Source organism: Homo sapiens, chromosome 8, assembly GCF_000001405.40.
Source record: "Homo sapiens chromosome 8, GRCh38.p14 Primary Assembly".
NCBI classification, from domain to species: domain Eukaryota; kingdom Metazoa; phylum Chordata; class Mammalia; order Primates; family Hominidae; genus Homo; species Homo sapiens.
This window is the reverse complement of record NC_000008.11, coordinates 119,633,005-119,660,186: the sequence shown is the minus strand read 5'-3', so window position 1 is coordinate 119,660,186 and position 27,182 is coordinate 119,633,005. Positions and strand designations below refer to the sequence as shown.

At 38.8% G+C, this 27,182-nt stretch overlaps 1 protein-coding gene across 13 annotated transcripts in view, besides 2 other annotated features; it reads left to right on the top strand.

Annotated features, from left to right (window-relative positions):
- Positions 1-27,182, top strand: part of ENPP2 (ectonucleotide pyrophosphatase/phosphodiesterase 2) — a 116,305-nt gene that overhangs the window by 13,204 nt on the left and 75,919 nt on the right. For 8 of the 13 annotated variants that reach the window (XM_017013575.2, XM_017013572.2, NM_001040092.3 and 5 more), the window contains exons 1-2: positions 21,348-21,439; positions 21,660-21,762. In XM_017013575.2, coding sequence (XP_016869064.1) covers positions 21,407-21,439; positions 21,660-21,762 — 136 coding nt within the window. In that variant the 5' untranslated portion in view covers positions 21,348-21,406. Of the gene's footprint in view, positions 1-21,347; positions 21,440-21,659; positions 21,763-27,182 lie in introns of those variants that run through there. The other 5 variants (XM_024447182.2, XM_017013573.2, XM_017013574.2 and 2 more) reach the window with 1 other exon arrangement.
- Positions 4,724-5,018: an enhancer, noted in NCBI's record as "tiled region #2988; HepG2 Activating DNase matched - State 8:EnhW". NCBI's record gives its function as "activates a minimal TATA promoter and a strong SV40 promoter by Sharpr-MPRA in HepG2 cells {active_cell/tissue: HepG2}" and the evidence as "EXISTENCE:reporter gene assay evidence [ECO:0000049][PMID:27701403]".
- Positions 21,133-21,232: a silencer, noted in NCBI's record as "silent region_19482". NCBI's record gives its function as "represses an Ori minimal core promoter by ATAC-STARR-seq in GM12878 lymphoblastoid cells {active_cell/tissue: GM12878}" and the evidence as "EXISTENCE:reporter gene assay evidence [ECO:0000049][PMID:35858748]".

The window sequence follows — 27,182 nt, the reverse complement described above, 5'->3', positions numbered from 1 at the left end:
AAGAGTGTGGAAAGGTTGTTAACCAAAGCATCTCCTGTGGCTGGTTGTTAGAACATCTCCACTAGGAAGTTTCTACAGCACAGTGGCCCCTCCTTTTTAGACGATAGCTAGGAGAGATACATTTTCAGCTTCTCAATATTTATATTTATACTTATACTTTGGCCTGTCCACATTTCTTAGTCCCTTGGCCAGCCAGGGTTGCCTTGAAAAGGCCTGTGGTGAGATAAGATGTTTATCCAGTGATTGCTGGACCCTGAACCTCTTATTATTGTTACCCCTGATATTTATAGTCCCAATATCCATTCCCAGTGACTCCAGATTGATTAAAAATGTAGTCAGGGCTGCCAGAAAATGGCCTTCTTAATACAAGACAAGCAATTTTCCTCAGAAACACCTCCATCTATAATTTGATCCTTAGGCAAAAGAAAGAAAAGCAATCAGTTTTTTCACCAATATTCTTCACCCTTTGAAGCATATTTTCTTATGGAATCACTAGGAATAAAATCTGTGTGTGGTGTGTTAAGCATATTAGAATGGCCTTGATCATCTGACCAGATTAGGAGATAAAGTTGTTCCCTGAGAGGGATGGGAATGGAAGGCTCAAGACATTGTCCATGAACTAGTCAATGGATGGATATGATGTAGTCAAAGTCCTGGCAGGGAAGCCTGGAGGCTTTGCTGAAGTGAAGCCTCATGAATGCATGAATGTGTGTGGATAACATCAGCAGGGTTTTGTAATTTTTCCAGCATGTTTTGGGTGCCTTGGAACAGGGGTAAGAAAATAGTGTTATTTTTCTAGGGTTAGGGATTAGTACCACTAGGAAGTGAGAAAATTCTTAAGAACTCTGGTTTTTTTTTTTTTTTTTAATTGAGACAGAGTCTTGTCCTGTAGTCCAGGCTGGAGTGCAGTGGCACCACCTCGGTTCACTGCAACCTCCCTCTCCTAGGTACAAGCAATTCTTATATCTCAGCCTCCTGAGTAGCTGGGATTACAGGTGCACGCTACCACATCTGGCTAACTTTTGTGTTTTTTTTGTAGAGATGGGGTTTTGCCATGTTGCCCAGGCTGGTCTTGAACTCCTGGCCTCAAGCAATCTGCCTGCCTTGGCCTTCCAAAGTGCTGGGACTACAGGTGTGAGCCACTGTGCCCAGCCAAGAAGTCTGGTCTTGGGTGCCTAGGTTGGGGAGGGATGGAGGTAGAAGGGCCCAGCAACCCTGCTGCCACTGACAGAGAATAAAGCTGCAGGCAGTTGCCTGATCCCTTTTCTCCTCTGCCTCAACCCTCCACACTCCAGTTATATTTTCCTTCCCTTTTCTTCGGCATTCTCTTCCTTTGTTAAATTGTTCAAGCAATATTAGTTGAACATCCCTGTGTGCCAGGGACAGTGCTGGGGTTTGGGGACTTAATGGGAGGGACATAGACTTGGTGTCTACACTGGTGGGGCTTATAGTCCTGTGGCCTGGGGTGCAGAATGTCAGGAGTTGGGTAAGTGCTCAAGGCATAAGCATAGGGGAGAGAAGGATGAATGGGAGGGGATAAGGTGGTCAGGGAAGGTCTCTGTCTGGTCTGAGAACTGAGGATCCTCTGAAAGCAGAGGTGGAGAAATAGGAGGAGTTATATTTTCCAAAATTAGCCAGCTAGTAAAGTGGCAGTGCTGAGGTTTGAACCTAGATGTGCCTGACTCTAGGAAATGTCTGCTTTTAGCCTGGGCAATACAGTGAAACCTCTTCTCTACAAAAAATTAAAAAATTAGCTGGCATGGTGGCACATGTCTGTAGTCCTAGCTACTCAGAAGGCCGAGGCAGGAGGATCCCTTGAGCCCAGGAGTTTGAGGCTGAAGTTAGCTATGATTGCACCACTGCACTCCAGCTTGCGCGACAGAGCTGAGACTCTGCCTAAAAGAACAACAAAAACAGAAGCCCCAGTCCCTACCATTACACAGGCAATATCCACATAACAAACAAGCACGTGGACCCCCTGAATCTGAAATACAATTTTTGAAAAAAGAAATATAAAGTATTTAAAACAATACCTGGCACATAGTAAACACATAATCAATATTACGTGTTATTATTTTAAAAACTGTTTACTTTTCACTAAATCTTAACAAAAACATTAAACTTCCTCTGCAAGCATCTATATGTAACTGTATTGTGTTGCCGTGAAGGAACTTGAACAGCAACAAGACAAAAAATCATTCATTCACCCATTCTAATCATTTACTATGGATGAGCCACGTTGTGTGTGTAAATGCACAAGGCAAAATCCTATTGTGCAGCTGTGAGCACCAATGCTGAGGAATGCTGAGAAAAGCATTGTTAGCCTGAGGTTGGGGCAAGACAGCAAGAGTCCACACACTCTTCCAATTCATCACAATGACCCCTTCACGCCATAGGATGACAGCTCTCATTGAAATGCAGGGCATGTACATCCCACTTGTTGATTCCTTTCATTCCTAGACAAACACACGTCTAATAAAGAGGCACACATGTCTGTCCAGGTCACAAGCCTGGTTGGGAATGCGGGTATTTCAGAGAGGTTAGGCTGATGCTAGCATGTTGCTATTGCATCGTGAACTTTGAAAGTCCTTTAGCACTAAGTCATGTTGACCGCATCGCTAATTACATGCTGCAGCCCACTGCTAAGGGACGATGAGAAGAACTGGAAATTAGAATTGGCAGACTTCGACATACAAAGTTCAACACTTTCTAAGCCAGATATTGTAGAACTTTCGGGAGATGATGGAGATGAAATCTCTGTTCTTGGGAAACTTTCAGTTTAGTAAGAAGAATTTCCAATAGAACAAACTCAATAGAGGAGGCATGGTATGGTGTAAAAATCATGGACTTTGAACGATGCAGACTGGGTTTAAATCATTTCTCTACCACAGACTATGTGGCCTTGATCAAATTATTTCATCTTTCTGCGTCTTGGTTTCTTCACTCATAAAACGAGATTATAGTCTAGCAGCGGTGGCTCATGCCTGTGATCCCAGCACTTTGGGAGGCCGAGGAGGGTGGATCACCTGAGGTCAGGAGTTCGAGACCAGACTGGCCAACATGGTGAAACCCTGACTCTACTAAAAATACAGAAATTAGCCGGGCATGGTGGGTGCCTGTAATCCCAGCTACTCGGGAGGCTGAGGCAGGAGAATCGCTTGAAACTGGGAGGCAGAGGTTGCACTGAGCCAAGATAGTGCCATTGCACTCTAGCCTGGGCAACGGAATGAGACTCCATCTCAAAAAATAATAAAAATAAAATAAAATAAAAAACGATATTATATAAATACTTCATGCAATTCTATAACTACCTTAATAGATGGTAACTATTATAATCATTGCTGTGATATTGATTACTGTTATTATCAGAATATAGCAAATTCCTGCTGTATCACTGATGTGGTGACTGCACAAATTACTCAAACTCTTCACCTATAAAATATGATAATTCTAACTGCCTTATTTGTGTAATTCAGGAGATAACTGTATTCTGCCATTACCAACTAATATATTTATATATTTTCTGTTTTATTCCATCCAATAAAATGTAAGCTCTCTGAGCAGGGACTTGGATTCTTGTGTTAGTTACTGGACTCTTGTGCCTAGAACAGTGCCTAGGCCATAGTAGATTCTCAATAAAGTATGCTGCTGTTTAAATAAGTGGACAAGGAAATAAATGAATGGTCAATCTTATGTTAAATGTTCAGCAAATGGTAGGCTCTTGGTACATGGTAGTTGTTACTGCGCTTAGTATCATTATTATGATTAGAATGTGGTGGGTGCCGTGAGAGGAACGAATACAGAGAGATCGCTCCCAGCTCTGTCAGTTGGTGATCCTTGTTCTTAGCACTGGCATGTCATCAATTGTGTTGTAGTTGGGAGAAACAACCAGGCCATTGTCAATAGTAAGGTCACATGAGATTAATTGCAAAAATAAGGGTTTCTGAATTTTTATCAGTTCTTAGGAGGAAAGGGAAATAGCTGCAGAAAGGGAGGGAAGATTGAAAAAAGGAGAAAAACATCATCTTTTGCAAAATATTTTATTACATGAGGCCATAGGCTACAAGTCTGTGATCAGGATTTACCCAGCCCCAAACTTAGAAGGCATGCAAAACCAGCTGCACCAGTCAGATGACACAAAGACAGTATTGGTATAGTGGCTCCAACCTGCAGCTGGGAGCAAAATGAGAAACTGTCCGTAAGAGAATCAGTTCTGCTTCTGAACTTTTAAAGTGACTAGGGAAAAACTTCTCAACTGCCCCTCACTTGAGAGATTGGAGGAGTTTCTTTTAATAGTAATAAAACTAAATGTCCCATTGCATAGTGTGCTGTTGCAAGAAATACCTAGAAACTGGGCTCTGGCTGGGCGGACCTGAATTTGAATGACCTGAATCTGTCCCGTGCTAGGTATGTAAATTTGGGCCAGTTACTTAAACTTTTGTGAGCCCCTGCAAAAAGAGAAACCAGTATGTATTTTGTAAGACTGTTGAGAGAATTCAGTAAGATAATCTCTGTACAACATCTGTGACATTTTAGTTCTTCGAAATATGGTGGCTACTATTATTAGCAATTAGTGCTACATGGATTATTGTATTTAATTCCCACAGCAACCCTATGAGGAAGGGATTATATGCATTCTCATTTACATATGAAGAAATGAAGGTCCAGAGAGGGTTCCTAACTCAGTCAAGTCCATAGAGCTAGTGAGCATCCAAGTCATGATTCTAAACAAGCCAGAGAGTCCAGATTTTCAGCAATTAACAAGTTGTATAGCATCTCTCATAAGAGCAATGGAAGCTTAGCAGGGCAACATAAGGTCCAGAACTTCCGGCATTCTCTTGCATAATACTCTGTTGGCAATCTGAGGTAATTGTATTTCAAATATGCGGTGACTCTCTGTTTACAAAGGATTATGAGAGACACAGACGTGTCAGAGAGGCAATGTCAGGTCAACTTGGTCAGCTTATCGTATGTCTGTCTTCTTGATCAATCCAAAAAACCATTGCTTCATCTCTTGCTTAAGTCCATCATAGGATTTTGTGAAATGTGTTTCTTTCTTCTTTTCTTAGCTTACCCTTGACAAGTGTTCTGTGTATTTGGCATACATTAAATTGTGCATACCAATATTTTCTTTCTCTCTCTGTTTCCTTCAGGAGGTGAAATAGTAAGAACAAGGTATGTATAAAGATCCTTACCTTTCCTTTTGATTTATCCAGGAAAAAGTAAGACCAAATTCTGATTATTTAATTGAATTTGAGTAACTCTTTTTTGGTTATTATAGGGAGAGGACTCAGCTCTCTGAGAGAGTTTAAAGAAGACAGAGAAATAGTAGATGCTTAGAGTTGGAAAGAAGCTTAGATGTTGTATAGCCAAAGTGCTTCTGAATTCAGATACTTTTTAAGAAATCCTGACTACCACCACCTAGCCTTTGCTGAATAGTGACTGTTAGTTCATTTTTTATAACTATTTCATTATCTCTTTCATGAGACAAAATATGCTTCTCTGTAACTTCTAGTTTTGCCTAGAAAAAGCATGCATGGGAGCCTGGGTATGGTGGCTCATGCCTGTTATTCCAGCACTTTGTGGGGCTGAGGCGGGAACATTGCTTGAGGCCAGGAGTTGTAGACAAGTCTGGACAACATAGCAAGACCCTCTCTCTCACTCTAATATTTATTATATATATTAAATATATAACATATTATATATAATAATATAAATTTATATTAAGTTTATAAATATAACAATATAAATTTATACTATAAATATTTTATATTATATATCTAGATATTAATATCTAGATATATCTCTCTATATAATATAATTATATATTAAATATTATACAGAGATATATCTCTATATATAATTATATATTAAGTATTATATATAGATACATCTATATAATATTGGTATTAGTATTATAATATAATATAGATATAGATATATAGCTATATCTTTTATATCTATACATAATAGTTATATATCTAGATATATAATACATGTAATATATATAGAATACCTAATATTATATATAGATACTTATATATTATATCTCTGTATATAATATTATATATCTCTGTACATGTTATATAGATATATAACACATAATATATAATATAATATATAATATGTCTCTCTAGATAATATAACATATAATAAAATATTATACATATATAATATATTTAATATATAATATTTTCTATAGATATATAATAATATGTAATCTATTATATTACATATTATATATAGAGATAAAAAATATATAGAGAGATGCATAATAAAGCCTGTGCATTTTGCATTAACTTTCAAACGTTTGAGGAAGGGCAATGCACACCCACCTTCTCCCCTCATCTACGCCACACGTTCAGGCTGCACAGTCACAAGCGTGCTCATTAAATATCCATTTCCTGAACAGCAGTAAGAGTGAGACTTTTGAAACATAAATTGGACCATGTCATTGTCTGATTAAATCCCTCCAGTGGCTTTTCATTACATCCAACATGAAACATGAAGCCTCCATTATGGCCTGTAGGGTCCTGCATAAACTAGCTCCCAATTACTTCTTTGACATTGTCTCTTACTGCTGCCTCGTCTCTCACTCTGCTCCAGCCACACTGGCCTCACTGAGCACATTGGGCTGCTCCTACTTCAGGGCCTTTGCACCTGCTATTTTTTCCAAGACACCTGGCTTCCCCCTCATGTCATCCGGGTCTCTGTTCATATGTCATCCCTTTGGAGAGATCTTTGTTGCTGCCTAACTGAAAATAGCTCCACTCGTTACTCCTCTGTTTTCTTGCTCTTGTGCTCTTTTTTCTTTATCGTTTATCAGCTACTTGACGTTATTTTCTTCTCCTACTAAAATGTGGGATTGCTGGGGCAGAGGCTGCATCCTCAATGCTTGACGTATACTAGGTGCTCAATAGAAGTTTGCTGAGTAAATAAACAAATGAATGAGTGAATTAATGAATTGGTTGGGTGATAAGGACCTCTCCTCATCCTGGTCATGCCTCTCTTAATGCTGTCCAGTTTTGTAGTGACCTCTTAAAACGAGCTATCCAGAGGTGAACACAATCTAGACGGAGTCTGGCTAGGCTCAGCTGAAACATTCCCCTCCTGGATGTGGGCAGGAATCATTATTAAAGAAGCCTAGGATAAAATGAAGTCATTTAGGGTGGTAGCCAAACATGGGCTTCTATAGAGCTTGCAGGTAACCCAAATGCCTGGGTTTCTTTTACAAGAATTGCTGTTAGTGCTGGTCTCTCCTAGTGCAAAGTTGTATACCTAAATTTTGTATTCTGCTTCAAGAATGTTGTCCCAGATAGATAGATCTGGCTGTCTCGCTCAGATCTTATTTTTTAAACTCTTGATTTCAACCTGTTGATATATTTTTGAATTTTGATACAGTCCATGGTACATTGTATGTGGCAGCTACCTATCACTGGAATATTGAGTTCAAGAACATATCTTACATCTGTGATTCAGGAATCAGGAGGCTACCATCTGTGTCACCTCCACAGGTGTCTCTTGATGCTTAGGAAGCTGGAGAATAGATACTGAAATAATATTGCAGAAAACCTATCATTTCTGATCTTGTTTGCACAGATAACCAGCTGAAAGGGACAGGAAGAGGGATCTCAATTCTGCTGTCCAAATCTCATGTGCATAATGACAATCTCAGGAGCATAGTTGGCAGAGTCTATAAACTGTTTCTATAACGATTTCTGCAAAAAATCTGCAGGACACTAAGGCAGCCTGGATGTGGGATGAATAGATTGAGGGAGCCAATTCTCAGGATATGGCATCTTAACAAACTGCTGACTTCCTGCTATGATGTGAATGTTTATGTCCTTCCCAAATTCATACGTTGAAATCCTAACTCCCAAGGTGATGATATAAGGAGGTGGGGACTTTGGGAGGTGATTAAATCATGAGGGTAGAGGCTTCATGAATGGGTCAATGTTCTTATATAAAAGACCCCACAGAGACCCTTACCCTTCCATAATGTGAGGTTACAGTGAGAAGACAGCTTTCTATGAGGAAGTGGGGTCCTTACCAGACACAGAATCTGCTGGTGCCTTGATCGTAAACCTCCCAGCCTCCAGAACTATGAAAAATACATTTATGTTATATATAAGCCACCCAGTTTATGGTATTTTTTTATAGAAGCATGAATGGACTAAGATACTTTACCATCTCCCAATTAAAACACACCTTTCATCTCACTATCCTTGATATCAAGCGGTACTTGACACAGCGTAAGCTTTCAATAAGCATTAGCTAATACTGCAGTGGATGCTTACTAAATCTGTATTGAACCACTATTATTTGAATTTGGAAAACTCTGGTTTCCAAAATTTAGGCAATTGTCTGATAATGACCAGCATTCTCTCTGAGATCTTAGGATTTTGAAATGACATGTCCAGGATGCCCAAGGTTCTGGTCACTTTTTCATTTGCAACCTATTCTTTTTGGGGGTCACAAGAAGGTCAGCTTACAACAAAGGTTAATCTGTGGCTCCTATTATCTTCTGAATTAGGAAACATTATCAAGTATCAAGACTCATCAAACATTTACTAGATCCTCTGCCTTTAGTAGACTCAGGTTTCTTTCAGCACACAGTTGAAATTCCCATTCCTTTGAGGTCTTCCCAGTTTTGTAATTCTTATTGGGAAATCAAGAGAAAAGATGATTCCCCCACTTAATAGGCACTTGAACTTGGGCAAGTTGTTTGATATATTTGAAGTTGTTTTCATATCTATTCACAATGATAATACTGTGAAGATTTTATAAATATTAAATTATGCACTATGTAAATGTCCCCAGTAGGTTGCCTGGCAAAGTGCAAACAATTACCGAATACTAGCTACCACTTAAAAGAATGTCTGTTCCATGTCAAATGTGGTACTATGTATACATGTTTGCTTTTTCCTTTCTCTACTCCCTTTCTGAAATTTTTGAGACTTTGCTCCTGGAATTTCCTCTGCTTGCAATGCCCTTCCCCTCTTTATCAACTTAAAAATCCCCTATCTATAATTTAACCATTATAATACATGCCCATCTGCCATATGAGCTGTCCTGATCTCCCTGTCAGAGGTCCTTTAGCTCTGTGACATATCTATGGACAGCCTTTCTGTTTTATTGATTGCAAAGTTGGAAGAGTGAGTGAGCCTTGATCTATCTGACATTAACTCTAGTTCATAGGGCTTTTTTTTTTTTAAAGAAGTATTCTCCAAATGAAAGGTATTATTGTTCTTAAATTCTCACAACTGCCCCACAAACTCTGTTTACAGTTTGTTGCCATTAAGTTTCAGGATACTTGAGATGTGTACGCAAGAACTAGGGTCTCTTCTAGGCTGTTTTATTTAAAAGTAAAATGAAACAGAAAACCTGATGAAAGAGATATGGCAGAGGGCCAAGTTGCTCTGACAAACTCCCAGTTCTTCTAATTCTGGGGGATGCAGAGGGTTTCATCACACACACAGGGGCTCGTTAAGAGCAGTCCACACCATGACTCAAATGCATCAGTCCTCCTGTTAATCATCAGGTTCAGAGGATAACCGGGTTGACTCTGGGGACAACGTTGAATGCATGAACCTGAGAACTGAAAATCAGGGTTAATGTTCCTTTTCTGTGCATCCAGATGCTTTGGAATTTGCTTCTCTGCAGGTATAATCTCGGTTCTTTTTTAAAATAGCTTTTTTGGGATATAATTTATATATTATACAATTCACTCTTTTAAACTGTACATTTCAGTGGTTTTAAATATATTTACAGAGACGTGCAAACATCACCATTATGCAATTTTAGGACATTTCATCACTCCAAAACAAAAACTCATACCCGATATCGGTCAATACCCCATCATCTGACAACTGCTAATTGACCTTTTATCCCCTGTGGGTTTGCCTCTTCTAGATGTTTTATATAAACGGAATCATAAAACATGTGGCTTTTGTGGCTAGCTTCTTTCACCCAGCGTAATGTTTTCAAGGTTTGTGATGCTGAAGCACATATAAGGGCTTCATTCCTTTTTATTGCTGAGTAATATTTCACCGTATGGATATACCCCATTTCGTTTATCCATTCATCAGTTGGTAATGCTGCTGTGAACATTTGTGTTCAAGTTTTGTGTGGATGTATGTTTACTTCCTCTTGGGTATATACATAAGAGTGGAACTTTTGAGTTATATGTGTAACTCTATATTTAACATTTTAAGAAACTGCCAAACTGCTTTCCAAAGTGACTGCATCATTTTACAGTTCATGTTTCCACATCCTTCCTAACAGTTTGTATTAACTATCTTTTAAATTTTAGCATCCTAGTGGGGGTAAAGTGGTATCTCACAGTTTTGACTTGCATTTTCCTAATGATGTTGAACAAACTTTCATTTGCTTATTGTTCATTTGTGTATCTTCTTTGGAGAAATGTCTATTCTAATCCATTGATCATTTTTTAAAAATTGGATTATATGTCTTTTTATTGCTGAGTTGTAAGTGTTCTTTAAATGTTCTAGATATTTGAACATTATCAGTTATATGATTTGTAAATATTTTCTTCCAACCCGTAGGTCATCGTTTCACTTTCTTGCCATATTGACAATAATGTCTTCCGATCATGAAAAAGCAGATCTTCCCAAATTTAGGTCTTCTTTAATATATCTCAGTGATTCTCTCTAATGGTTAGTGTGCAAATCTCACTTATTTTGTCAAATTTATTTCTAAGTATTTTAGACCTTTGACTATTATAAATGCAATTTTCTTTTCTTTTCTTTTCTTTTTTTTTTTTTTGAGATGGAGTCTTGCTCTGTTATCCAGGCTGGAGTGCATTGGCACGATCTCGGCTCACTGCAAGCTCCGCCTCCCAGGTTCACGCCATTCTCCTGCCTCAGCCTCCTGAGTAGCTGGGACTACAGGTGCCCACGACCACACCCGGCTATTTTTTTTTTTTTTTTGTATTTTTAGTAGAGACGGGGTTTCACCGTGTTAGCCAGGATGCTCCCGATCTCCTGACCTTGTGATCCGCCCACCTCCGCCTCCCAAATTGCTGGGATTACAGGCATGAGCCACCGTGCCCGGCCATAAATGCAATTTTCTTCTTAACTTTTAGATTGTCTATTGTTAGTGTATAAAAATACAACTGATTTTTGTATTTTTGTCTTATATCAAGCAACATTCATGAACTCATTAGTTTCACTTTTTATTTTTGGTAGATTCATTAGGATTTTCTATATACAAGATCTGTGAATGGAGATAGCTTTATTTCTTCCTTCCCAATTTGGATGGCATTCATTTATTTACTTATTTGCCTAATTCCTCAGGCTGGAAGTACAAAGTTGACTAGAAGTGGTAAAAACAGACATTTTTGTCTTGCTCCTGATCTTAGGGGAAAGCATTCAGTCTTTCACCATTAAATATGATGATGTTAGCTCTGGACTTTTTGTAGAAGCCTTTTATCAGGCAGAGGAAGTTGTCCTCTCTTCCTAGTTTGTTGAATGCCCTTCACTGTTGTATGATTGCAAGGGGAATCACAGAAATGGCAGTTTTGCTTCCTCCCTGAGAGAGTTCCATTGTGCTGGTAAGCACGTGATGACACCTTTGCAGCGGCAAGTGTAAACTTCCTTTTAGATTTGAATCGAAACACATTCATTGAGTTAAATCTCAACTTTTTGGGGCTTTCCAATCCAAGTAGAGGGGCTTTATTATTGTGGTTGAAATGTGTCCTTCAAAGCTGTTTCCAGAATCACCCTACCCTTTGCCACATAAGAGCTGCTCATTTTCTCATAAGGTTAAAAAGAATGTGAAAAAGGTGGATTGAAACATTTTTAACTTTACTTACATATAATCTCTCCATAAATAAAGGGATTTTCTTAGAACCCATGTCACTACTAAGCACTCTATGCCCAGCACTTTAGAAGATGCTGAGAGCACGATAGCAGATGACACAGACCTTGCTCTCTTATATATAGAGTAATGGGGAATATTTGTTTATTTTGTGTGTTTTAGCACTGAGGTACTTGCTTAACATGCATTATTACATCATTTGGTCTTCATATCAACCCTGTGTGAAAAGAACAATTATTTTTTAAAAGAAACTCATGTTTTAGAGAAGTTAAGCAAGGTCTCATGCTTGAAACAGGCAGACTCAAGTCAGTGGGACTCCAGAATCCAAACTTTTCTTTTTTTGGGGATGGAATTTTGTTCTTGTTGCCCAGGCTGGAGTGCAGTGGCATGATCTTGGCTCACTGCAACCTCTGCCTCCTGGGTTCAAGTGATTCTCCTGCCTCAGCCTTCCAAGTAGCCGGGATTACAGGCGCCCACCACCATGCCCAGCTAATTTTTGTATTTTTAGTAAAGACGGGATTTTGCCATGTTGGCCAGGTCGGCATCGATCTCCTGACCTCAGGTAATCCACCCGCCTCTGCCTCCCAAAGTGCTAGGATTACAGGTGTGAGCCACTGCGCCCGGCCACAGAATCCAAACCCTTATTCTCTATAGCACATTGCTTTTTTCCCCTGCTCTCTAAGAATTTATGCTCTTATTCCTGAGACAAGAAATACTGAAAAAACAGGGAACCCTAAGAGAGAAAAGTATTCATTTTAAGATTTTATTTGGAAACAAAGTTTTAATGTTAAAAAATATGGCTAAAAGCCACTTAGCCTGCTAACTCTCCTTTACAAGTGAAGAGGCTTGGGTTTGCAGTGACAAAGCTAGTGAATAACAGAGGAAGTACTACAAGTCAAATTTCTTTGTGCCAAGTAGTTCACTTGGGAAATATTTATTGTGTTCCTATTATATTCCAGGCAGGGTGAAAAGCTCTGTGTAGTGCAAGGATAATTGGTCCCTGCATTTGGAGAGATCAAAAGGGATGGAGCTGCCTTAAAAGAGGTTGCAGACGGGCTGGGCGCAGTGGCTCACCCCTGTAATCTTAGCACTTTGGGAGGCTGAGGTGGGTGGATCACAAGGTCAGGAGTTCAAGACCAGCCTGGCCAAGATGGTGAAACCTCGTCTCTACTAAAAATACAAAAATCAGCTGGGTGTTGTGGTGGGTGCCGGTGATCCCAGCTACTTCAGAGGCTGAGGCAGAGAATTGCTTGAACCCGGGAGGCGGAGGTTGCAGTGAGCCAAGATTGTGCCACTGCACTCCAGCCTGGGCGACAGAGCCAAACTCTGTCTCAAAAAAAAAAAAAAAAAGAGAGAGATTACAGACAATATGGTAACACAGTTCATTGTTGTTCTGTGTGAAGATGAGGGCAAAACTGGGGAGGCTCACAGCGGAGTGACACCTGACTTGAATTTTCATAAATATGTTGGTATTTGCCAGGGAAATTAGGTGGAGAAGGGCATTCTAGGCCAAAGCAACAATGTATGTTAAGGAATGGAGGTATGAAAGAGCACAACTTAATCAAGGAACAGAAAATAGTTCTCTAATTAAGAAAATTTAACATTTATGAACACTATTCTATGCTGGGCATTGTGCTAGGTGATTTACATGGATTATTTCATGTAATACTCTCAAGAATCCTATGAGATGGAAACAGACAAGAAAACTGAGTTTTAGGATGGAGAAGTAATTTGCCTAAGGGTCATATAAGGTCTCACAGTTAAACTGTGGTCGAGCTGGGATTTGAATTTAGGGAGTTTAGTTTTGGATCTAGGGTCCTATGAGCCTGGTTAAGCAGCTTGAATTTACCCTCTAGGTCAGTGGTCCTCAAACTCGCATCAGAAGCACCTGGTGGAGTTGCGAAAACAGATTCTGGGCTTTAACCCAGAGTTTCTCATTCAGTAGGTATGAGGCAGGCTCCAAGCATTTGCACTTCTAACAAGTTTCCAGGTCATTCTAACCCTGCTCATCCAGGGACCATACTTTGAGAACTGCTTTGATAGGAAGCCAAACAGAAAAGTTTTAAGTTTAGGAGGAAAAGGCTGGATGCGCTGGCTCATGCCTGTAATCCCAGAACTTTGGGAGGCCGAGGTGGGTGGATCACGAGGTCAGGAGATCGAGACCATCCTGGCTAACACAGTGAAACCCCGTCTCTACTAAAAATACAAAAAAATTAGCCGGGTATGGTGACACATGCCTGTAATCCCAGCTACTTGAGAGGCTGAGGCAGGAGAATCGCTTGAACCCAGGAGGCGGAGGCTGCGGTGAGCCGAGATCGTGCCATTGCGCTCCAGCCTGGGCAACAAGAGTGAAACTCCATCTCAAAAAAAAAAAGTTTAGAAGGAAAATCATTAGATTTGCATATTGTTTAGGGCTTTCTGGGTAATGAATGGGAATAAATTATAAAAGAGAACTTAATGAAATGGTGGTCAGAGGGGACAGAGAGTACAAACAGGAAGAGCAGTTATGAAAAGACCTTTTTTTTTTTTTTTTGAGATTGAGTTTCGCTCCTGTTGCCTAGGCTGGAGTGCAATGGTGCGATCTCAGCTCAGCTCAACCTCCACTCCCCGGGTTCAAGCGATTCTCCTGCCTCAGCCTCCCAAGTAGCTGGAATGACAGGCATGTGCCACCACGCCCGCCTAATTTTGTATTAGAGATGGGGTTTCTCCATGTTGGTCAGGGTGGTCTTGAACTCCCAACCTCAGGTCCACCTGCCTCGGCCTCCCAAAGTACTGGGATTACAGGCGTGAGCCACCGTGCCCGGCTATGAGAGGACCTTCTAATGTGTGTCCAGAATAATGAAGCTGAAGGGATGAACCTAAACATTATCACATAGGAAGAAAATTTAGGAACTAACAGCACCTGATAAAGGATGGCAGTAGTTGTCATTATTAACTAGAATCTGTAGATATGGTGTCTGGCAAGAAACAAGAGAGGAAAGGATTGAAATGAACAAAAAGTGAGTTGAGTTTAAGGTTTTCCTGAAAAGAAATGAAATTGGGAGGGTGAACTTGTTGTGTAGGTAGCTGCGTTTTGGACGTGTTGAGTGGAGGCCCTCGTGTGGTGTAGTAGAGAGGCATCACGCTGCGGCGGAAAGAGGACTGAGCTGGCATAGGAGACCTGGTTTTTAGAACTGGCTCAGTCAATTATCTGACCGTTCTGGAGATGCCCCATACTCTTCGAACCTCCATTTCTTTCTCTGCAAGTGGAGTTTGTAGCCTGCCTATGTGAGTGAGACTGGAGGGTAAAATATGGGAGTCGTCAACCCTAGGGTAAAACTTTTGGTAAAACAGTTGTTTTTCCTAATTATCCTGTCACTCATTTGTGTTCATATATCACATAGTCACATTATAAAGTAGACTCAAAAATGAAAACCTTCATGTGGTTTACAAGCCTGCTAGCGACTCAGCCCTTCTGAAAGGGGAAATTTTCTCCATTCATCTGGACACTTAGCATGCAGGGTTTAGAGTAGCTGAAAAGAAATAGTTACATTGAGTTTTGAATTTTAAAATGTTTTATTATGAGCTAGAGTTAGGAACAAAGCTGAGTTATTTCCTAGGGGGAATGCTTTTTAAAACCTCAATATGAATAAATGCATTTTTAGTGTTTAAAGTCCAGTATATATATATGTGTGTGTGTATATATATATATATATCTATATGTGTGTGTGTGTGTGTGTGTGTATATATATATATATATATATATATATATATATATATATTTTAGTAATCTCCAGTCACAGCAGAAAATGGTTTAAAGCTATTAGCTCTGTCCCTTATTGTAACTATTTAATTCTAGGGTGTTAGCAAATGGATACCTATCCCCATGTCTTTCTTATGATCTAATTGAAAAGAAGTGACTTCACTGAGTATATATATGGTCATCATAATCATTAAGTATCTATTAATTCAGGAGTCATACTTAATACCTTCCTGCCCCTCAACTCCCATATCCAGTTCATTAAAAAGTCTTTTTTCCTAACTCCCCCACTTGTCTTCCTCTCCACGCCGCCATAGCCTCCTCTGTGTAAGCTGTCATGATCTTTTGTCTGGCTTACTGCCAGAGTTTCCAAACTGATCTGCTATATCCATTCTTGACTCCCTCTGATTCATATCTACACCGTGCAGAGATTAATGCTTCAAAATCTGATTAAGCCTCCCCCTGCTTAAGCCTTTTAAGGGCTTTTTGTTGCCTTTAGGGTAAAGACAATATCACCTAACATGACCTCGGAGGCCCCACATGACCGGCCTCTGTTAACCTCTCCAGTCTCACTTCTCTCTATACTCACTTCTGCTCTCCCTGCACTAGTCAAACTGGCTGCCTTTTTGTCTCGTGGATGTGCCATACCTCCATCTTACACAGGATCTTTGCCTGTTCTCTCTCCTCTGTCTAGAAGTCTTTGCTCCTTTCTTAATCTGGTTACTCACTCCCACACACCCTTCCAATCGCAGCTCAATGAACACTTACTCCACAAATTCTTCTCTGACCCTCTTGACTAGGTAATCTGAATGATATTTGCTCAAATCATGATTTACCTCTATATTTCTTCATTTTCCACAGTTGTAATTTTACATTTATTTCTGTGTCTACTTGATTAATGTGGAGAGCAGGAGCTATGTGTGGGTCAGCTCCCTATGTAGTACGACCAGTTCCCAGAAGAGTGCTTGGTACCTTGTAGAAGCTAATGAATATTTGTGCAACATTCATACAGGGCAGAGATTATTCTGGTGTCGGGGCTCATGTGTAGATTCCATAGGGAGTAAATGTAATGCATAAAATTTATGCCATAAGTTAAAGTCATTGAAAGTTGCAACAGTGTTGATGTCAGCTTTCGACTGTGTAACAATTAATAGCACAAGTCTAGTTTGCATTTGAACAGGTATATGCTGTTCTTCTACTGGAGAATCCTGTGGGACCATAGACTACCCATAAAACTTTGCTTTTGTGGTTTAGAATTGTAACTGTAAGACTTATACATGTTTGCAGTCCTGGATTGTGGGAGCAATTGAGCCAGCTTGTTCCTCTATTAGCCATCAAAATTTTCTGCTCAGTTTAGACTAGTAAATCCTTTTGCAAAGACTGTTGTCCAGTTTTTATCTGAATTTTCTAATAGTTCTCAACCACAGCAAAACTTAAAAACAGGACAACAGACTTTTAAGATAGAATAAGAAGAATATATATGGTGTTTTCTTACTTTTGTAGTGTATGCGCTATAGTTACTGCTAAATGATACTACAGAAAATGACATGGTTAATAATTATCTAACATCATACATAATCTTAGGATTATTCTGGGAATAATGTTAAATCTAGTGATGTCAGTTCTGCATAATGAGAAACTCTGGGTGTAGATACAGTTTCAATCAGTTCATGACAATTAATTACTTCAGGAAGCAAGAACGACAACCTTCTATCACTTATCTTTCAAATCTCACTGTTAACCTCAAGCCTTCTTATCTTCATCAGGGCTAGGGAACAAGGACGCATAGAATAATTTCATGAAAAGATAGACTGTGCATTTATATAAATGCAACTACTGTATTACAATTAAGCAATACACACACTACTGCTTTGTGTCACCAGCAAAGTAAATAAAATACTACTCTGCTTCTTACAGTTTGGAGATGAGTCCCCTGGAAGAAAAGCCACAGTTTGTTTTTAAGAGATCTAAACTTTAATGTCCAATTAATAGTGAATGTTATTAATAACATATTAAAATTCCATATGAATTAGGCCAAACAATTCAACATGCAGGGCATAAATACATTAATTCAGAGTAATTTATTATAATGCTCTACTTCTCCAAATGTGGTACTTATCTTTTTTTTGAGGAAACATAGATATTGTATTTATTAGACAAAGGCTTTATGTCAACCATCGTTAGCATATTAAAAAAACTAAAAATAAAAACATGAACAAAAAGTAAAGCAAATGAAGAGAACAATGTTTCCCTAAACAAAGTATGTCAGTAAACAAATAATTCAAAAAATAAACAAATAGAAATTCTGGAGCAGAAAAGTACACTAACTTAAATAAAAAAATTTACTAGAGTGATTTAACAGTACATTTGAGCAGGCAGAAGAAAGAAGTGGTGAGCTTGAAAATGGGTATTCAAAAGAGTATACCAAAAAGTCGTTTAAACCCCAAAGAAGGAAGTAACGGAGAAATTGAGAAGCAAAACTTCTAGATTTCCTAGAAGTCTCAGGTCATCATCCAGTTATAAATAGATCAAGGCATCAAGTGGAGCATGGCCTAAAATTAAAGCTCTATATTATGCGTTGCCTGGATGTCTGAAATCAGGAGGACCTTAAATGATCTAACTGCAAGTTCCTCCTCTCAGTGGATAAGATCCTCTAGCCATCAGTTTTTCCTATCTGGGAATCATAGTTTTTTGTTTATCCCTATGTTGAATTTTCCTGCCAGACCACAATTATTGAAGCCAGTCAATCACGTCTGCTGCAGGAACCAGGTCTTATCTCCATAAACGTGGTTCTTATCTGACTTTCATCAAAGTAACCTATTGTGCCAGTTCTTGTCTGACCTCTAAACTCCTCTTTCTTCTCCCCACCTGCCAGACCTAATGAATCAGGATCTTGATACGCAGGACATAAACATCAGCATTTTAAACAAGGCTCCAGGGTGATTCTGATACCCAATAAAATTTGAAAACCACAGAATGATTTCTAGGGACTGAGACTGTTGACAAATATTTGTTTCTAGTTCTAGGTTTTCTTCTGCCAGGGGGCAGTGTTCTCTGAAATATGGCTGGGCTAATAAACCATGTTGGAATTTAATTTTTCAGTCTTTCTTATGCACTTCTTGTTTACTGAGCCAGCCACATGTGTCCTTATTACAAAATCTTAAACACCATAGCAAGTGAACTTCTCATAATTTAGTTTTCTTACAAAAGGTTTTGGACTAATTCCAGTCATTTTAGTTGAATTTCTTAACCTACTTTATGCACTGTGAAGCTTTTTTTTGTTTTTTTTTTTCAGCTTTAGGTAATGAGGGATAATTTTATTTTGTAGTTAATTTGATAGCCGAGGTAGGGACTTTGGTCATCTTGGTCATTCTCCTGACAGTTAATTTATAACAATAATCTTGTAGTAAAAATCTGTTTAACTGTGGCAAAATGATGTGTGTATGCACATATATGCTTGTGTGTGTGCGTGTATGTGTTCATGTTAACATGTTCCTTATGCACAACAAGCTGGTAAAAGACAAAGTTCTTTGGCAGAACGGTTAACAGAAATAGTGGCTGAGGGCCAGGCACGGTGGTTCACACCTGTAATCCCAGCACTTTGGGAGGCTGAGATGGGCGGATCACCTGAGGTCAGGAGTTCGAGACCATCCTGACCAACATGGTGAAACCCTGTCTGTATTAAAAATACAAAAATTAGCCAGGCGTGTTGGCATGCACCTGTAATCCCAGCTACTCGGGAGGCTGAGACAGGAATCACTTGAACCCGGGAGGTGGAGGCTGCAGTGAGCCGAGATCGAGCCATTGCACTCCAGCCTGGGCAACAAGAGTGAAACTCCATCTCAAAATAAACAAATAAACAAACAAAAACAAAAAAACAAAGAAATAGTGGCTGAGGTCAACTCTTTTGGATATTGGGTAACAAGCAGATCAACTTGGCTATTACAGCTTTTCCCCCTGCCCAGCTAGTCTGCATATAAGAGAAAAATAAATGGATGATGTTCAGCTCCTGAACCCTAACTTTTTTTCCAAGGGAACCCTCATTGTCTTCTAGCTAGGTTTATACAATCAAATATCAGACAAAGTCAAAAGTTGTTAGACTCTGGCAAGGCAAAAGAAGAGGCTGTTTTTGTTTTTAGAACATTTAGAGCACTGTGGCATATAATGAAATAACAGGATTGCCTTGATATTTTTCTTTGGGGTTTATTGTTTTCCTCTATCATGTCTGGCTTGTATCTTGAAATTTAACATAAATTATAGGAAAATCTTTCATGGAGTTAACATCTTTTATAAGCCTTGCTAAATACCCTACTCCAAATTTGTTCAGTATGGCATACAGACAAAAGCAAGAGGCTTACATATAAAAATGTATAAGCCTGTCCTCTTTGCAACAGTGCAAAACTAAAAGGATTTTAGAAAGGCAATTAACAGTTTGGCAGTATGTGTATTTTCTTTTTTTCAATTAGATATTACTAGATTCTAAGAATCTGTAATGAAACCCAGGCCTACTGTACAACCCCCTATAAACAAGTTTTTGCTTTTGTGCTATCATGTTTTATTTGAGCAGAGCCACTACTCTGTTACTAATTTGTTGCATGGTAAGTCTCGTATTTGTTTACGCACGAACACATGTGCTGCGGAAGAAAAGATGGTCACTGGACCTGCTGAGGAAGAGGCCAAAAACAAATCTTTTTCCCTCATTTGAATCCTGAAGGCATGTAATATTTAAACAACTTTCAGATTTAGAGCCCTTGATTTTTTCTTTTGAAAGTGTGCTGGTTGCCAAATTGCTTAGTAAAGAAACTTTAGTACCCACAATAGCCTCAAAGGACACAGTATTTGGTGGCTACATTTAACCAAGAAATAACTAGGGAAACAATTCTTGACATTTCAATTCTTGCTGCCATTGAGATTTCCTTCCTAAATTCAATTGCTAATAAAGCTTCCCATGCCATCCCCTTCCCCCACCCATCTGCCTCTCAAAAACCGCCCCCTCCTCCGCCCCGCCCGAAACAAGCTGACAGTCTTTACGGGAAGAAGAGGCAGAGACTGAAGTTATTTTGTCCGTCCTCCCAGGGCAGAAGGACTTTATGCTGCGTGGCTGGCATTTCCAGTATTTTGATAAAAGTTACTTCTCTAAACTTGAACCACAGCATGGGGAAAATAATGTTATCTTTTATGTTAGTTACAATTTTGCGAAATTTCATCATGAGAAACTTTCAAGGAGGCAGAAGTAGCTGAGAATGTGATACTAGGGACAGGGTCGCTCAAACTGCCAGCAAAATAAATAGATGGGAAAGACAGGAACGTTATTAGGTTTATAAATGATAAAACTTTCCTTGCTTAAAAAAATAAAGTGGTGAGGTTGACGCCATTGAATGACTGCATTGTAAACCTTAAAAGCTTAAAGCTGGTGGAAAGCCCTTGCACAGCCCTGTTTTCATTTTTATCGGATGAAATGCATTTGGTTTCTTTTTGACAAACCATGTTTTTGTGAGGAAAGGAAAATGAACATGCACTGTTATGGGCCACGGCAATGTAACAAACCCTCCTGTTGCCAGAGGATACCACATGAAAGTGTCTGTGGGTTAGGGGAGGGACCTGTAAGGGGGCGGGGATAAGGGGGATGATAGCTTAAGCCTCTTAGGCTCAGAGCTGCGATTTGTGAACACCCTGTGATGTAATCAAGCTCTGGACAAATCAGAGGAGTCTGTCAACCTCCCAGGTGGGATTGCTTATAGTTAATAGACTAAACCCAGAGCCTCAAAGCAGTGCACTCCGTGAAGGCAAAGAGAACACGCTGCAAAAGGCTTTCCAAGAATCCTCGACATGGCAAGGAGGAGCTCGTTCCAGTCGTGTCAGGTGGGAGAACGGAGGAATGACGGGGGACATGCTTGATCTTCAGAATCAGTGACTGATTGGCATTTTCCTTTTTGTTGTGCAAATTAAGATAGCACCTTATTATGCATTTTGGAAGTGGTAGGATTGGGTGTTGATATTGAAGCCATTTGAATCACCTTTGTGTAATTTGATTTAGTCTTCTCCAGCTGTATTTGACAACTTGGTCTCTTTATTCTCTTAGATAATATCCCTGTTCACTTTTGCCGTTGGAGTCAATATCTGCTTAGGATTCACTGCACATCGAATTAAGAGAGCAGAAGGATGGGAGGAAGGTCCTCCTACAGGTAAGTGTCAAAACTATTTGCATTTTCAATTTTTTAAAAATATTACATACGGGGTAATCAATGTAAGCTTATTAAAATATTTATTTTTAATACAATCTTGCAGTATAACTAAGTTAGTCCTAAATTTCTCTGGGTAAAACCACCTATGTGTATAATTCAGGTGGGAGAGTGTGGTTTTCATTAGAGAACATTTATGATTGTTTCATAACTGGCTATTTCCATTTTTGTACTCAAATTTGTAAATGTTAGGATACAATTAAAACTCTTGTTCACAGACAAGGCTAAAGTAGAAGTGGTGAGAACAGGTGTTGGTTTAATATTGGAGCTACCCAAATCTGATTTGCTGTCACATGATATAGGATGTAGTATTTGCCACTAGAAAGTTCTGATGTAGGAAAAAGGAATGGAAGTAAAAAAGGCAGTGAGCTATCTTTATGAAACTTCAGAAATTTAGGACTTTAAGATTTACTTAAAATTGGAAAAACATAAAAGAGAGGAGGTGTTTAAAGAGTTTTCAGGATTGATTTGTCCTCATTGTGTGTCCTTATGGCAAAGGAAAGGTAAGTTTTAATAGTGTACCTTGACTTAAATAATAGAACCAAAGTGAAAGAGTTTCTTTTTACAATACACTACACCATAAGTAGTGTTCCCATACAGTGTTCTTATAAAGGAGCTCCTTGTGCAGACAGAGGGGGCTTAACTGACCAGGTCTTAAGCAATGAGTTGGTTAATTTCCTGGAAATTGGAGCTGCTGATGGTTTTAGAAATAAAAAATTACATTTTAAGTAATGGGCACTCTAGGGAACAATATTTTCTGGACTTTTCCTGACATTCCAGCATGTTTGTCTGTCTTCCTGTGAATTTTGTGTTTCTCTGTATGTCTTGATCTGATTGTTATGAAAGACCATCACTTGCCTCTGTTTAGCCAGCTTGAAATTTTATTATCAACCGGGTTAGGACACATACATTGATGGAATACTAAATCTTCCTTACATCAATTAAGTTACTTTTGAATCATGCCAGTAGGTTGAAAGAATAATATTAGAAGTGAATTAGTGAATTGAAGTGGGGTGTGGCGGGGTTAAGAGTGAGAAAATAGATCACAAAACTTGCAGCCCCAGGGAGCCAAATGGACAAAATGAGTCGTCTTCTGTTGGGGAGGCAGAGGACAGTGGATCACTGAGCTAGAGAATGCTGTTTTTATTTGCAGCAAATGCTCTCTTCAAAGGCCTCTTTTTCACTCCCATTAACACTGACTGTGACTGAACAGACAGGGGAATCAGATCCTTAGCATGGTCATGTGGGAAAGCTAGCAACTTGAGAGCCAACTGCTGGTTCTTTTCAATGAACACTAAAGGGAACTTTTTTTTTCTGTTTCCTCTTAATATATTACTCTGGCTAAAACTGAGATTGAAAGAATTAAATGCTGTTTCCTTAATGAATGTAAAATTGAGTCACTCATTATTTTTAAAGGTGACTTCTTTTGGAAAACAGTCATTAAAATCCTAGGCTGGTACCCTGGAGTCCTGTAACTTGCTGTGTGGTGTTGGGCAAGTCACTTGTGAAGTCTGTTTCCTTAGCTGTACAATGAGGAGCAGACTTAGATGATTTCTACTTTTCTTTCTGGATTAAAAAAAAAAAATCCCAGGAATTATTCTGTTTCATTGCCTCTTGAATTTCTGTGCTCACTACTGGAAAACTTGAAAAGTATAGATTGGATTTATTAGTCTTTGAAAATATTTTGTGTATAGTAAATTATTTCCATGTTATAAGAATAGCTATATGAACTAATGAATAAATGCCACTTCTAGAAAAGTAGTATGGTCTATATTATAATTTATAAACCTAAATGGTCTTAAGTGGGCTACACGAATTTGCTCCTTGAATTATTTAATTAAGTCGTTGGTTATTTTAGGCCTTTATGATATCATCTAAAATAATTTATTAAACTTCTAACCACGTGAAGCTTAGTCTTAGAATACAATGCAACCTAACTCTGAATTTTATGGTTTGGATATGCCTGAATAATTTTTCTTTTGATGTAGCTTATGTGCTTTTTAGGAACTGTGGTTGATTTCTCCTGAATAAAAATCAAGGATGTACTTAGTAAACTAGGTAAAAGCATCCTGTAGACAGTGGAAATATCTTTATGCGTTTAAATGCTGCATATGCTTAGAAAGGATCTCTCTCGATTGACACATGTGACTGGTTATTCTGACCATTAGAAAAGCCTTCCCATCAGAAAATACTGGGTGAATTTTATAAGCCTGTAAGAATAAGACACTAGGTGGGGAGGAGGCAGCCATGCCTATTTCCAACAACATTTTTAGGCGCCAAAGAAATCCTGGGAAGCTCAGTGCTCCAAGGGTGCAACAAATAGAAGGAACACAAAGGGTATTGATATATGGCTAGCTTCGGATTGATCAGAGTGAGATCCACCATTCAAAAGCATGCAGTTGTTTAGTAACCATAGCTTCTCAGAGTCCTCAACAATAGCTGAGAATGTTCTGTACACATGGATGCCCTCGCTGCTGTACTATGGACTGGGGTGTTAGTTTCAAGGTTGTGGCAGTGCAAACAGACTGTCATAATTAATTAACTAACACACTTGTTACCTGGATTTATTGTTAGCGTAGGAAATAATGGCTGAACAGGATTTTTTATACCAGGTCATAAAAGATTTATAGATTTATTAGGAGATATGAAATGAGAAAAGCTACTTATAATTCTGTTGGGTAAATACAATGGGCATTCAGGTTAATGAGACGGTGAGATGGGTGGAATAAATTTTCTAAGAAAATATAAGCCATAACTGTGATTTAGTTTGACATCTTTTTCTCATATGTCTGATGTGGCCCACTTGATTTGCCTTTAAGACTGCAAGAGACTTTATATGTCTACAGGTGTCTGTGCACTCATGTGCACTTGCAGTGTGTATGTTTGTGGTGTTATGCAGGAGTCTATTTTATTGAAACTTGTGATTTAGAAACTGTCTCCAGGTGGAAATAGAATATCCTCTTTGATATGTAAGTAATTTAATTCTTAAAAGACAAAAGGAAATTTGTGAGCTTGTGAATAGCTGGCTAACAGAGACTTAAAAGCTCAGTTTAATTCATCATTGTTTTTAGTGGCTTGAAAGGAAAGTTGAAAAGTATGTGAATGAAATTCATAGGTTCATATGAAATGTAGACTGTCACTAACAACTTTATGGATAAAGCTTTTCTTTGAGAATCATAGGGAAATCAGAAAATGGAACTAGAAGTGAGAAGGTTTATGTTCATTTGATAATTTTAGAAATTTTGCTCTGCAATGAAAAGCTATTTAAATGTTGGCATGGGAGAATGCAGGAAACTGTAAAGGGGACGTAGATCAGCCATTTGCTCTGTGAGCAAAACTCGGTCATTAGGATTATCCTGTCATGGGGCTTTATGTGAAATTTCAGGTAGAAATTGGGGAGTTTGAGTCAATGGAATGAAATTATCTGAACTGGAAGCTAAGGAGGGTACAGATTTTTCAGTTCTTTGTTAAATGGGGCTGTAGTGTAGTGATTTTTCATCTATCTGAAAACTGTAGAGACTCCTCTATCTAGTTTACATACTCAGAAATCTCAGTCTTCCATGAACTTCAGCCTAGATTTTTGAATCAATAAAATCAGCAAATCTTCCCCAAAATTATATTTTGAAAAGAACTTCTAAAATTTGAAAACTATGTACAAAAGTTTGAAAAACCTTTCATTAATGAAAAAAATACTGTAGTTACAGTGAGATGATCTAAAATTTTATCCAGGCCTTGGCTAACTCATACAAGGCCTAGAGATCTAATTTTCCAACCAGGAAAATGGGGATAAAGTCGCTTTTATTTATCTGAAAAAGTTTTTGAAAATGCCTTTAAGGCTGATGAGAACTATAAGGTGTTAAGTATATGATAATTCATTTAATTAATCTTCAATTAGGTTTGAAGGCCAGTGTTTAAACTTATACCTTATTGAGTTAACAATACCTTTAATTTTAAATGACAACATTTTATTGTTTGGTAGCAGATGTGCAAATCATTCAGATTTATGCTACTGATGGCCATTAAATTCTATTTAAGTGGTTTAGATGTTGAAGTAAAGTTTTTAACTTTTAACTTCAATTACGTAGAAATCTTTTTTTTTCCTTCTAGTTTGTGAGCTCTATATGAGGACATTGTGTGTATGTATGTATGTATGTATGTATGTATGTATGTATGTATTTATTTTTTGAGAGAGAGTCTCATTCTGTCACCCAGACTGGAGTGCAGTGGCGTGATCTCAGCTAACTGCAACCTCCACCTCCCAGGTTCAAGTGATTCTCCTGCCTCAGCCTCCCGAGTAGCTGAGATTACAGGCGCCCACCACCGCGCCAGGCTAATTTTTGTATTTTTAGTAGAGATGAGGTTTCACCATGTTAGCCAGGCTGCTCTCGAACTCCTGACCTCAGGTGATCCACTCGCCTCAGCCTCCCAAATTGCTAGGATTACAGGCATGAGTCACCGAGGCAGGTCAGACCATTGTGTTTATAAATGTTTTGAAAGCACAGGTGTTTAAAAACTTCCCAGGTGGACCTCTTTATTAAAAAAAAAAAAGTTTATGAAATCTGGCCTAGCAGCTGTGAAGAGGAGAGAACAGTGATGTTGCAGTAATGGATATTTATAAAAAGTTATGTATTTAGGAAGCAAAGATACTGACATGTAGACCTGTGTGTAAGTTCTATTTACTAAAAAATGAGGTCAGAAGCATCAATAAAAAATGGCAAATTCAATACGAAAAAAGTATGACCAGAAAGAACGAACCATATACTCCAGAAGAGGCATAATACAGTATTAACTCTAGAGCTGGGCAGCATCTTGAATGCCACGCACACTGTCCTCTGCCTTGCCCTGTGGGTTATGCTTCAAACAGGGCAGCAGACATAAGGGAACTTGTCCTGTTTTAACGCTCTTGAGAAAAGGAGCTGGTATAACCACAGCTGGTAACACATTTTAAGGTTTTGCTCTCACTTTCAGGAAATACCTGGGCTAAGAACCAAGGAGAATGGGAGGAACAGATAGAGAGCAGTATCATAAACAGGAGCAGACAAAGCTTAGAAGAACCTTCCCCCTTTAGGCTAAGCTAAATGTTTCCAAACTTAAATACTGCCTCTTCTATTGGCCATCATCCAGATTTGAGTATTTGCATCTTTACGGGGGACATTTAGAGGGAAATATGATTGGGAGCCTTAGATCAAGTAATGTTTTGGCCATAACTTTTGTCATCGGTTAGGCTCCTTCCAAAAATTTAAATCATCAATAGTTTTGTTGTATCTTATGGAACAGATGGCACTAGAATTCTTTTGTTGTTGTTGTTTTTTGAGATGGAGTTTCGCTCTTGTTGCCCAGGCTGGAGTGCAATGGCATGATCT